This window comes from Homo sapiens, chromosome 10 (assembly GCF_000001405.40).
Source record: "Homo sapiens chromosome 10, GRCh38.p14 Primary Assembly".
Taxonomy (NCBI): Eukaryota; Metazoa; Chordata; class Mammalia; order Primates; family Hominidae; genus Homo; species Homo sapiens.
The window spans coordinates 129,043,770-129,058,119 of record NC_000010.11 but is presented as its reverse complement, the minus strand read 5'-3'; positions in this window follow the sequence as shown (position 1 = coordinate 129,058,119).

Genomic DNA, 14,350 nt, shown 5'->3' with positions numbered 1-14,350 from the left:
GGGGTGCGGTGAGCGGCCTGGCCACAGCACCCACAGCAGGTGCAGCCCTGCCGACTGAGATTTCCTGCCAGCAACCACATGGCTTGTCCTCCCTGAGCCTTGCCAGCCGGTCGGCGTACAGCTGTGAGCCACGGCACACACAAGTGTCCTGAGAGGTGAGGGATCCCACTTCTTGCCATCTGGCCTCTGCTTGGCTGGGTCTCTCATGCTATGGTTGCCACGGGTCTGGGTGGGAGTCAGCCCTGGATTTCTCTTTTTAAGCAAGAGAGATGATATGTGATTCTTAGAGGCTGGGATCAGGGGCACAGGTCCCACTGGCAACTCCTGTCTAAATGAAGGAGGCAGATAGAGAGGAAAACGTGCCATGGGTTAGGTACCCGGGGCTCTCTCTGCATAGTGCACACGGTCACATTTCCAAGCTTCTACATCATTCCAGGGATTTTCCCTGAGTAGGAGTTTGAGACCAGATTAATTTAAGGCTTGCAGTTCTCTATAGTTGACATTTAGGCCGAGGACCAGCTATTGTCTTCTGAAACCATCAAAGTGACACTTTGTTGTTGTCACCCTGATCCTGGCCAGCTTCTTTAGAAGAAAGCTGCCCTCCCTTTCTACACCCCCTCACCACTTCCTATTGGCACCTGGAGGCCTGTCTGTGCGTGATTATTTAAAGCTGACCACTAAGAGTTTCAAAATGCCTCCTCCCTCCCCGCTGCCACAGGGCAGCAGCCAGGGGGCTGCTTTGTGCCAGGCCTCCTGCCCAGGCTGCCAGCACCCGGGCCTTGAGCTCAAGTGGGGCGTCTGCTCACAGCACCTCTTCTTTCCCAACTGCACTGCATGAACCCAGACCTCTGGGTTGGGTCGCCGAGCTTCCTGCCCAGGCACTTCCAGGACCCTGCGTCCCGTGGTGTTTCTCTAGAAACACTCAGATGCATATCCCGAAGCCTCACGGGAATGCAAGCACAGGGACAATGCACACATATGAGAGTGCACAGCGACACACACGCATGCACATACCACACATGCATGTGCACACACATACATGTGGGCTGTACAAGTGCACACGCGCCACACACATATACAGATGCACACAGCCATAGGCACACACGACCACATGTGCACGGCCTGTGTGTACATGTGTGCACATATCGATGCACATAGCTACACGTGCATGTGTATGTATAGACCTCACATACACGTGCACAATGCACGTGACTATGCATAGCATGCAAGTGTGCACATGTCACATGCATACATGTGTGCCACATGTGTGCCGATGACCACACATGCACGCAGGCAGTCACACATTCACATGTAAACACAACACACATGTGCGCACAGCACACATGAGCACCATGCCCGGGGCCCACACTCCTGTTTCTGCCTAGCGAGCCATTTGGCTCTCTGTGCTGCAGTTCCTGAGTGTGAGGTGCTGAACAACTCTGTATGCATAAGCATTCCTTCTAGCAATGTACCAGATAATTGCTTCTATTACTAAAAAATAATTCTGAATGCCAGCTGCTGAGAGGAATAAACATGAAGGTGCTTCTAAGCTGCAGTTTCAGTCCATGTCGTGGTGTTAACGTCTGTGCAAATTATTTTCAGGTTTTTCCTGGATGAAATTGGCATAGAATATATGGGCCTTTCTCTGAAAATCTGACCTGAGTACTGTCCTCTCCTCTCCTCTCCTGTGCTTGGAGTTATAGCAAAATGGACGCTGCATCCTTCCCAGCTGTTTCACAGGCAGATGTAACAGTTGATACAAGAAGATTAAAAAAAAATAGTCGGATGTCTACATTACAGAGAAGAGGGGGTCGAGTGAGGAGAGGCAGCACCGCAGTGTCTGGGCGATCGCATTACTGTGTCGTCATCAGTTCTGGGTACAGGTCAGTAACTGTCTCTGCTTCCCCTCCTGAGCCTTCAACCACATCCAATTAGCACTGCCCTGCCGTGACGCAGCCTGCCTCTCTTAATGAGAGCCCCGCTCCAGCGGAGCACGTGCAGTGAGAGGCTTCAGAAACAGGTGCCTTCCGCGGAGCTCGCGTGGGGCGGGCAGAGCAGGCCCTTCCGTCCAGCTCCAAACAGGCAGGCTGCAGCCTCTTGGAACCAGGACTTGGCTGGCAGGGGATCAATTAGGCCATTCCGCTGTCCATGGGCTTCCGCGTGGACAGGAGGGAAAGAGTGAAACCAGGTCTCGCCTCCCAGAGTGAAGCCCCCTCCTGCCGCTGTGTTCACTGCTCGGTGCCAGAGGACTTATTAGTGGATTGCCAGTTTGAGACGCTTCCCTGGATGTTCAGGAAGGCTGAGTGCCCCGTGTTTCTCTTCATATATGCATACATATACATACACCAAATATACTAAAGTATTCTGCTCATTTGTCTGTTTTAGGAAATAATGTCTCATTTTTTATTAAAATGTGAGTGTCTCAAAGGCAGGTGCTGTCTTCCTCCACACTTCCATACCCGAGGCCTATGGCTCCATGGCTGCCATTTGTCCATTCTTTCCCTCATCCAGTGGTTTTTGCAGGAGCACCTACTCTGTGCTGGAGAACCTAGTCATACGGGGGTGTACAGAGAACCTAGCAGTACTTGGGATATGCAGTGGTGAGCAAAACACAGTCCATGACCTCACAGGGATTGCAGAGCAGGGCGGGAGAGTGGGTCAGCAGGGATCAAACCGCCTCAGGGCTGCCTGGGTGTTTCATTGCAAACCGTGATACCGGGGGCGTGGTCTGCACAAGTGCACAGCGTGGGGACTTGGCCTGTTCCAGGAGACTCAGGATTTTCCTCCAGGCAGCGAGATTTCAGGGATGCTCCTGAGGGAGCAGGATATTCTGCTGCTATGTGGGTCTGGGGGGAAGGATTGGGAAAACGTCCCAGGCAGAGTCTAATTCTGCCAAGGCGGAGTGGTCCTTGTGTCACTGTGTGAAGGTGGCCTGTTTCCCTGGAACGTTTCACAGAGCTTTGTCACCAGTGAGTGCAGGGGAAGGGGATGCTGAGGTCACTTGAGCTCGTGGCTGCCTCATTGGCCTTTCTTTCTGTAACTGATGGAACTAGTTGCTTTTCATCTCCTTCCTGGCAGAGGCCTGGGGTTCTGTTCCTGCTGGGTGGCACAGGGGAGGGGCATGGGGGCTACTTTTAAAAATGGTTTAATTGTTGTGGCTTCCACATTGAGCACTGCGTCCCTTTTCCTCATAAGGCAGAGACACTATCTACGGAACCAGGATTTGACTGGCAGCGCCTCCCTTTTCTGTAGAAAGAGGCCTGACCATGGTCCTGTGCTGGGGCCTTGCTGATGGGAAGTGGATGGGCAATCGTGGAGTTAGACACCCTCGGGAGGGGACGGTGGGTGGGGTCCTCTCCCTGGAGCCCTTTGTCTGCTGTATCTTCCCTCCTTCCCTCCTAGCCTGTCTCTCCTGGCTCCCTTTCCCCCGAATGTGGTACCCTAGTGCACCTCTCAGGATACAATTCCAAGCAAGCCACTCTCAGGATGAAACCATCTATGGCTCCCCAGGGCCTATAGCATAAAGCCTGCACTCAGCCTCACACAGAAAACCTTTCACATGTGGCTCCACACCCCTTTTTCCGACTCCTCTCCAGCAGCTCCTTAGCCCCATCATTCTGGGTTTCCACCCAGGGTGGCCCTAAGACATACGTCCACATCCCAGCCCTGGAACCTGGGAAAGTCACCGCATTTGGAAGAAGGGTCTTTGTAAATATGATTAAGTTAAGGATCTTTAGATGAGATCATCTTGGATTATCTGGCTGGGCCCTAAATCCAAGGGTCAATGTCCTAAAAGAGACACACACAGAGAACCGAAGGTGGTGGAAAGATGTAGGCAGAGACTGGAGGGATGCAGATGTGAGCGCAGGAGTACCTGCAGCCCTGGAAGCTGGAAGAGACAAAGAAATACTCCCCAGGAGGCTTTGGAGGGAGTGGGGCCCTGCTGACACTTGGTTTTAGACTTCTGGCCTCTAAAACTGGGAGACAACATTTCGGTTGTTTTAAGCCACCAGGCTTGTCCTCTTTCCTGACGGCAGCCACGAAGCACTAACACCCCCACCAGCCTCCACATTTCTGTACCTTCCCACGCCTCCCCTCCTCTGTGTCAGTGCATGAGCTGTTCCCCTGGCTGAGGACATGCACGCAGCTTTCTACAGCCACCGAAGTCCTTTTCACTCCTCAATATGGCAGGATTACAATGTCACTCCACGCCGCACCAGGGTACTGGTTGGGTGACTTTTTGTTTTCCCTCAGAGAGAAAGGCCTATCTCTGAGGCATCTCTTCTCTCCCTATATATGATGAAATGTCCAGGAAGTGGTAGGAATACTGCAAGTATTTGCTGAATAATAAACAATTAAACTAGCCACCATGGGTTCCACTATAGCAGAACAGGGAAAAAGGAAGGGGGACACGATTGATAGTGGATCATATTCGTGCACTGCTGTCCTTCCAAGAAGCTCTGAATTCCAGCCTACCATTTAATTCAACACACAGTGCATAGCTTTAACCACACTCCAGCTGCTAACCTGGTCACCAAGGACTCAGAGATGGAAATAAGAGTTTTTTTCTCTCTCAAGAAACTTGGAGCCCAGACCAGAGACTGATAAGCAAATGTAACTATCATTAGCACCAATCACTGAGTTTATTCGTGTGTCAGGCACTGTGTGACGTGCTTTACATAATTTAATTAGGGTTGCTGGGTTTAGAAAATGAAAACACAGGATGCATAGTTGTATTTGAATGTTAGATACATAAAAAATTTTGGGCCGGGTGCGGTGGCTCATGCCTGTAATCCCAACACTTTGGGAGGCTGAGGCAGGCGGATCACGAGGTCAGGAGATCGAGACCATCCTGGCTAACACGGTGAAACCCCGTCTCTACTAAAAAAATACAAAAAATTAGCTGGGCATGGTGGCGGGTGCCTGTGGTCCCAGCTACTCGGGAGGCTGAGGCAGGAGAATGGCCTGAACCTGGGAAGCGGAGCTTGCAGTGAGCCTAGATTGCGTCACTGCACTCCAGCCTGGGCAACAGAGTGAGAATTCATCTCAAAAAAAAAAAAAAAAAAATTTGGTGTAAGTATGCCCCATGCAGTATTTGGGATATACTTACACTGAAAGTCTATCCACTGTGTATCTGAAAGCATATTTTGAACTGGGCACCCGGTATTTTTCTGGCGGCCCTGATTTAGCCATCACAGCAGTTCTACAAAGTAGGTTGTAATAGGATCTCCAGGTTACAGATAAGAAAACAAAGCATGAAGAGGTCTGTGTCATTTCACTTTGGCATCAAATGAATAAGCATTTTGTCCAGGAGGTGGTTATAATGGACTTACATAAGCATGATCCTGATGTCCAAAGAGCAGCTGGGAGTTTCTCAGGATGCACGGGACAGAATGTGCTGGTTAGAAGCTCTGGGAGCCTCTGCTTTTTGGTAGAAGTGGGGAGGATTTTCTGCAGGGGAGCTGGGAGTGAAGATGGTGAACTTGGTGGGTAGAGTTATACAGTTTGAGGGATGGACCTACCAGTTGTAGATAGAGTGTGGAATCTGTGAGCTGAAAGGAGCCTGAGGAAGTATCAAATCCAGAGTTTTCCTAAATGTGCTCTGTGGACCGATCTTTAGAGAAGTCCATTGAAAGAGTGGGTCTCATGATCTCATGGTGTTGTGGGCTAATCTTGGTGACCCCTGATCACATCAGCATATGAACGCTCAACTAGCCTTGTAGAAAGGAGCACTTCGGCTGTGTTAGTGCAGTGCATTGAGAATGCTCTTCAGCACCAAAGCTTTTGATATTCTTTACATCATCTTATGGGAGGCCAGCAGCTTGTAGAACACATTTGGACAATTCTGTACCCAAACAAGAGCAAGTGAGAAGTGGCCACCTCAGATGGACAAAGGCCCTCACTTTCAGGCCCATGTATCTGGTATTATTGCACAAATCACACATTGTCTCACCCACATGTCCGTTCACCTTGCTAAATTAATCATCATGTGCTTAGAGCCTAGGTCAGTGCCTGAGGGAAGTATGTTTTCTTATTTTTATTTCCAACTATTATTTTAAGTTCAGGAGTACATGTGCAGGATGTGCAGGTTGGTTACATAGGTAAACATATGCCATGGTGACTAGCTGCACAGATCATCCCAGCACCCAGGTATTCAGCCCAGCATCCATTAGCTATTCTTCCTGATGCTCTCCCTCCTCCCCCTGCCCTCCTACAGGCCCCAGTGTGTGTTGTTTCCCACTATGTGTCCATGTGTTCTCATCATTTAGCTCCCACTTATAAGTGAGAATGTGTGGTATTTGGTTTTCTGTTGCTGTGTTAGTTTGTTAAGGATAATGGCATCCAGCTCCATCCATGTCCCTGCGAAGGACATAATCTTGTTCATTTTTATGGCTGCACAGTATTCCACAATGTATATGTACCATATTTTCTTATCCAATTTATCACTGATGGACATTGGGGTTGATTCCATGTCTTTGGAAAGTGTGTTTTCAATGAGTGTTTGAATGAAAGGATGTATGGTCCACCTGTTTATGACTCATTCTTGGAGCCACCAGGAACCTCTGAGTGCTGGGGCAGCCCATTTCTTTCTCCACCACCATCCAGTTAGAAAGAACTCATGAAACACCATTCTGACCATGCCTGCTGGCTGGGCAGTCCACCTTACTCATGAGCTTCCTCCACTCCCTTCGCCAGTCCCAGTTCAACTCTTGGAGCTGCCACCTCTCCCCACGTGACAGTGACAGCTCTCTGGGTGTTGGGGCCAGCTACCTCTCCTCACAGGGCTGGGTACTGGGGGCAGCTACCCTCCTCACAGGGACCTCTGCACTGAGGCTGTCATGCTCATACAAGGAAGGAACTGCAAGGACCCAGGCCAGATCCATCTCCTGATGGCTGGGCAGTTGGAACTCAGGTGTGACCCATCAGTGCAGCTGACTTCAAACTTGAAAGGCTTTGGAGAGGATGGGCTGGGGAGACAGGATCAGATCAGGTAGGGAGCAGGTGAGGGGATGGACAGCGAACAACCTTGAAAACAGGGTTAATTCCTGAGGCTGAGAATCATGGCTGCTGCATAGTCTCCGAAATAAGTAGGCAGCAGCCTGGACTCCAGGTCCTGATGAGGACGTGGGCCTGGGAGTTACTGTAGGGGCTCTGCTCGCCAACTGGCTCGGACAGAGGGAGCCACCATTCTCTGGGAGAACCTGGACATTTTACAGACAGGGTGATGGAGACTTTACCCAGCTGGGAAGCCAGGCAGCACCAGCTTCCTGCTCCCCATCACCCAACAGGCCAAGACCTATTCATCTCCTCACATGTAGATGGCTGGGCCTAAGGCCACAGCAATGCCCCCATCACTTGAAGCGCCCTGTTTAAGGTCTAGTGCTTCTCCCTGAACAATTTCTATAAGAGCAATGGCCTGACCCCTTCCTGTGGCCGGTCCCTACCTGGTGGAACTGCTCCAGGAGGTCCGGTCTGTGTCAGCCTCCTCCCCGGTAACAGCAGCCAGTGGAGGGACCTGTGACCCACCAGGGCAGGCACTGAGATGGCCCCAGTCAGGGGAGGTCCTGGCCCTGCTCTGCCTGCATCCTAGCCCTGTCTTCATGGCCAATTGGCGTTGGTGGGACCCCATGGAAGCCAGTGGCCAGCCAGGCTCTACCCCACAGGAGCCCTGGTGAGGGCTGACTCCCTGGGCTCAGGTCACACCTGATGCTTTTTTGCAAAGAAGAACCAAGGTTTTCAGTGTTCAGGCTAGAGCTGCACCAATAATCCATGTATTTTATGCACATGGAAATTTAGCATCATGGATTGAAAGAGGACTCCAATCTGAGGGTTGGAATGACCCACAGAAACCTTTTGCAAATGTGGCCCAGAGAGGTCGAGTGACCTGCACAGATCATGACAGCCCCAGCTGGAATGGCTCACAGCTCACGGCTCACGGCTCAGTTTAGTCCATGTCTGACAGAGCAAAGGGGCTGGAGCATGGGCCAGGAGGGACACCTCTGGGTTCAAATCCCAGCCCTGGATTCGCCAGGTGTTCAGATTCGGCAACTCACAGAAGCATTCTAGTGTGGAGTGTGCTCGTCTGTAAAGTGGGACGATGCTGGGATGATTCTGGTGCTGCTTTCTTGGGGTTGTTTTGAGGGTCACATGAGATAATTAAGATCAGAGGCTTTGAGCAGGGTGCAGTGCATGGCAAGTGCTCAGTCCTTTGCTCTTTTTGACACTCTCTGGCATCAGGTCTATGTCCTAAGAGAAATGGTTGTCGGATAATGGGCATTGTTATTTTTGGTCTACCTTGTAATCTTTTTTTAACCTGACACCCTTCGTCTTTGGCAGCACAGAACCGTGTTGGATAATGTCTCCACTGCCCCGCCCCATGCTCATTCATAACTCACAGCTGGACCCCCATCTGCCCCTACAGCACGGTGGGAAGAGCAAGGACTGGGGCCAGATGGTGGGTTTCATTGCAGCCCTTCACCAGCTGTGTGACCGCAGGCAAGTCACACACTCTCTGTGCCTCGATCCTCATTTAAAAATGAAGATTAGAATAATAACTTCCTTACAGATTGTTATGAAGGTGGATAAAGTCATGCAAATAATGGCCTCAGAATGTCCTTGGTACATGTTAAGCACTCTGACAGTGTTTTATAAAATCAGACATCATCAGTGTTTGCCAGGAACTGGATGGGAGGGAGAGAGAGCAAAGGGGAATTTTAGGGCCAGAAAACTCTCCTGCATGTGTTACTGTGGTGGTGGATTCATGACATTATGATTTGTCAAAATCCACAGAATATACAGCACAGGCAGCAAACCCTAATGTAAACTGTGGACTTGGTTAATAATAATGAATCAGCATTGGCTCATCAATTGTAACAAATATACCAGCCAATGCAAGGTCCTCATCTTCAGGGAACCTCTGGGGGTACATGGACGGGCAGGCTGAGAGGGCATATGGTAACCCTCTGTCCCCTCTGCTTCATTGTTCTGTTACCCTAAAACTGCTCCCCAAACAAAGCCTTTTAGTTAAAAATAATGAGTTACCCACATATCACCTTGTTCCATGATTTGACCTGGGTGTTCCCCATGTGTTCCCTTAAGGTTCATGTGGTGGTGACTCTTCATTTCGTTGTGGCTCACTCTTCATCCCCTTCTTCCTTTGGTTCCAGAGCCATGCACACCACGGCTGTCTGCTCTTTTGAGTCCCTGCCCCTGCTGGCCTTCAATTGATACTAGATGGGCAGAGCTTCTAGGCTGCACTAGAAAAATTAGAGAGGCACCCAGACTCTCTTCTACCCCCTCCCTGTTCTGTGTCCCCAAGCAGCAGCCAGCCCGCCCCGGCGGCACCTCTCTTGTGATGGGAGGACATCCTGAGTGCCTGCTCCCATGCCCTGCGGCTGCCAGCTCCGGCCTCTGGTGCCGAGGGGTCTGCCTCCTCCTCCAGATCGGCTCCATGAGTCATCAGGCATTTTGCACCGTAGGCCGTATCAGGAAAGCCTACCTCGCCGAGCAGCAGAATGTGGAGTGGGGCGAACAGGGCTCACTAAGGTGTTGACTTGTGCAATGACTTCCATTTAGGCAGGTATTAATATCATGCTGCACTTGTTTTTTCTTACTTATGTGATTTCTCGCCAGCAAAATTGCACAGTCTGTCAGCTGTCAATGATAACTTTCTCTAGGCTATTTTGTTTTACATGTTTCCAAGCTTTGCACGGCATGTACGTATTACAGTTTCTGAAAACTCAGGAAAGAGCACCTGTGCTCCAAATTGGGAAAAATAAGGGACAGGAGGAATTCCTGCACCTCCAGTGTTAGAGTGAGTTTTGGGTCATTGTGTTTGTTTTATCCTTAAACTTCATCTACAGTGTGTGTGTGTGTGTGTGTGTGTGTGTGTGTGTGTGTGTGTCCCTGGTCTGCATTCTTTGCAAAAGTTAGAACTTTCTCCATCAGCCACCTCAAAGGACGCTTCCCAGAAGACGTTAGAGCTGATCTAATGGCCCAAGCTTGATGCTGACCCAAGAAACCAAAATTCCCTTGTGTGAGAAAGGAGATGATGGTGCTCACCAGCCCACCTGGCTCATCCCCTTCAAGACTCTCAGGGTTTTTCTTGATGGGATTTAACAAACTGCATGTGTTCTGGTTAAATGAATACCAAATAGAGAATTGCATGATTTTGCCATAAATAAAGGAAAAAAAAAACCCTTTAGAATCTGCTCCCTCTGAGGCCTTAAAGGGCTGCTCACCCCTACAAGCTCAAGTTAAATACTCAGACATATTGTGAACGTTGGATCCAAAATGCAAGAATTCTGCAGCATTGATAACGCCAACATGACAAGTTGTCACTTTGCCGTATGCTCCTTCACAAGACTCAACCTTAATAGCTGGGTTATTCTGGTGACTCTGGAATAATCAGGGCAACTGAACAGGCATGAATGGCAGTCACTGTAATTACTCCAGAAAGAGGACCAAAGCAAACAGAAATTCTCTCTAATTTTATATATTCCCAATAGGTGCACATGCTACGTTATTATCACTATAGAAACTACTTATTAGTTAGCCAAAAATCAGCACTACATCACGTGCTTATGGTCAGCACCCATGCAACTCACAGGGAAGCCCCTCCGGCTCCAACCAAGTTAAATCAGGGAGAGCTGCATGTGGACTCCAGGGGCTGGGGCCAACAGATCCCCCTACTAGGCGTGCTCTACTTCATCTATTTTTCATTGATTTTAATGGACTGAAACTCTGCATCCAACTGCCACTTTCTGGACATTAGCAGACGTAAAGATCCGGCAATGACCAGGCAGGGCTGGGAGGGAAAGTTATATGCAGCCATTGTGGGAGGCATGGGCATCTGAGATTTTTATTATTTTATTTTATTTTTTTACTGTTAATCATCATTGTTAAAGAATCCCCAGGAAATGACTCAGATTACCATTTTTAAAAATATGGCATTTTCCAGTGGACTAACGGTCTAGCACTAGCTTCCCAAGTAATGCAAAAACCAGAGAATCCAGGTAAGGAAGCTTTCTGGGCTCAGTGTTTCTTTCCTTTGTCTTCCTATTTCTCGATAGTATCATTGATGCTTTGGCATTTAGCAGCACCAAGGTGCTGAATGTGTGCACTTCACAATGCGAATATTTCTGTGACAAGAAGCATCCCAGGACATTAGACACCAAAAGTATATCAGTATCCAGGAGGAGGGCTGCTGACTCGCTGCCGGGGTTCATTTCTGTCTGCTTTCTTTGATCATCAGCGCAGTTTTGACCATCGCTGTTTTCTCAGTTTTCCCATCTTAGAGCCAAGGAAGAAAAAGTTGAAGTCACAACTTTTAATCCCAAGGAACAAGAACCAGGAGACGAGGGCTTTCCGAGGAGGGAATTAGCAAAGTATCATTTTCCTTTGGGTCTAGAATCGAGAAAAGTAAACAGGACTTGCTGCTGAAACCTGAAATCCCATCAAAGAGAATTCCCGGCGGCCGAGAGCGTTCATGAAAAACGCGGAAACTCGGACAATGAGTAGGGCGCAGAGTCAGAAATTTATAGACTTTGGCCTCTGCCGCTACATATCCTGGAAGGGGGAAAAAAAAAAAAAAGTGTTAAGAAAACAAATGCTGCTTGTGGATGTGTGGATTCCGACACTGGCCGCCTGACAAATCGGCCCTTGGCCTGACCCTCACAATATGTTTCCACAGGTAATTCCATAACTCTCTGGCCAACTTTTAAAGGCTTCCTGTTTGACAGCCAAGAGAAAGGAAGTACCCCGGCCCCGGGGAGCCGGGCGCTGCGCACCCCGGACCATCAGCATGCTTGAACCCGTATAATTTATACTCGGTTTCATCACCTCATCGCACACACATGATGAAATTCATTTCTGCTGATAACTGGGATTTTAGCCGTGCGGTTGTTGAAGTCAGTGTGATGAGATGTTCTGTTTCTGTTGTTGCTGGAATGTGCCGGGGTGGACTGTGAAACTGATGAATGACCGCCGTGGCAGATTCATAATCCAGGGTTTGGTGCAGCTGTGCAGGGAACTAATAGCTAGCAGGGACCGCGGAGGTCCCCGAGCTAATACCTGTCTCCTCCATCGCAAATTGATGGCATTAAACAAAAAAGTTGACTCTTTTCACATCCTGCCGATCTAATTGTGGTGCCCCTGCAGCCATCCCGGTATCTCGTGGCACGGAGGGCACTAAATGTCGCCTGTGGGATGGGGAGAGGAGCATCTGTCATCCGGCCCGCTGCTGTCTGGCGGTGGGGGCGGCGTGGCTAGGCACCCCTGCCCGCCGGCTGGTTGCTGCAGGACGGCCGTGCCCCATGCTGGTTCTCCTCCAGCCTGCCTCTCTGGCTTGCCTTCCTCTCTTTGCTAAGCATATGGTTTCACTTTTCTCCTTCTTCACGGGGAACCGGGACAGTTGAGGCATAAACTGCTTTTACTTGTTCCTCCCTGAAAGGTTGGATGCAAGGAGGAAGGTTCAAAAATAACATCGGTGTGATAAGTCATTAGTCATTTTTCACTGTACATATGTTAACTTGACCTACCGTATGTTAATTCATGCAACATTGGCCTCACATATGGCTACAATAGGAATCCCAACTGGTACTTCCTCCGGCACGGTGCCTCATTACAGCAACTTCCCCAGCTCCATCATTAACACTTAGGTGAAGTTCCACTTCCAAATTACTTCGTTGGCCTGGGGTCGAATGAGGGCCGAACGGGAGTGGAAAATAGAGGTTAAAGATACCCATCAGGCCTTTTCTCTCCGGCTTCTGCAGGGAGACAAGTCTGGTCCAGGGAAGCCGGAGCAGGGGGCATGGGAACCACAGTGGCTCTGGCATCATAGGGTCTGCTTGCTGGTAAGGGTTGATTTTGCATTGAGCAGAGCTAGTCGGGGGCCCTCTCAGTCTGTGTAGCCCTGTCTCAACCGCACACATGAGGAGGGACCCCAAGTCACAGTGGAGGTGGCATCCAGAGGCACGCTGGACCCCCCAAGTCACAGCAGAGACGGCCGTGTGGGGCTGCTGCCTGCCTGTGTGGGTGCCTTTTTGTGGCAATGCAGCTAGCGCCCAGGGGTAAGGGGTGGGGTGGGTAGGGAGGGCCACCCGGGGCCTGAATCCAATTCTGCTGTCGGTGAAAGGAATTGGTGAAGGCTGAGATGCTGATCCCCAAGGTCATATGGCTCCTTTCCGAAAGGCTGGGCAGTAATTCCAGCACCTGGACCCTGGTTCTGAGCAGGGCAGGGGGTCCACATATCCGACTGCCCACTGGCCTCCTGGCTCTGAACTTGGGTGCAGCTCTAAACTGGTTCCAAGGTGGGCTTTGATAGAGGCAGCCAGCATTTCATTTGAAAGTTCAGCAGGGCTCCGGCGGGCCTCAGCGCTTGCCCCCGTTCACTCAAGTGCTGGAGAGGATTGATCTCCTTTTCAATAAATGCAGGCAGGAGCCTAGCCCCGGTCCCCACCTGCTTCTGGGAGAAGGAGAGAATGCGAAGGGGTTGACTGTCCATGCCCCCCTCCCCCGCCCCCTGAAAACAGTTTAATTCCACCGTGATTGAGAAGACTCGCTTCTCAGTAGCCATACCAGGCTAAGCTTTTCATGGGATTTGGTCCTTAAAACAAAAAGCACTGAGGAGAAGATATTTGAGACTTATGGTGAAGTTACAGGAGCAAAGAAGAAACCACGCGTGAAAGGGAAAATTGATGTTCATCAACCTTCTATAAGCACCGACCTTCATGACTTCAAGCCCAACCCATTAGCCTGTAAATTCTAATTGTTATTAATTTATAGCAATTAAAAATTGTGGCTTTCTGTCAGTTTTTAATTTGACAAGCATGCACACAGTTGACGCCCAGCTCCGTGTAACATTTTAAACAGCAATGTATGAGACGGTGTCCCTTCCTTTTAGCAATTCCAACACAGGCAGAGATAAAGCTCATATTTGAACAGTAGCTTATATCAAATACGTTCATTAGGTTACATGCTTCACTTGATTAATTATATTTAAAGAAATTGCGGGCACTTTGGATCTTCTTCTTATAACATTACTGTATGCCACAGATCCCTAATTTCAAGAAGAAAAGAGGCTGAGGGCATTTTTTCAAACTCTCCCGGACAGCCGGCTCCTCTCCCTAAGGAGTTGAATGTATTCAAATGTATCTCCATCAATGAGCACAGTAATTATGAATTCAGCACTAATTAGTATATACACTACTTTCCTTGCATATTTGATTTCCACAGTGAGATGGTAATAAGGGAAATGCCCATTTTTGTCCTATCTCATAAAAATTCCACAACGTTAGAGGGGGAAGGGCAGATGGTGAAAGGAGACTGGGGATGCATTAAATATGAAAAA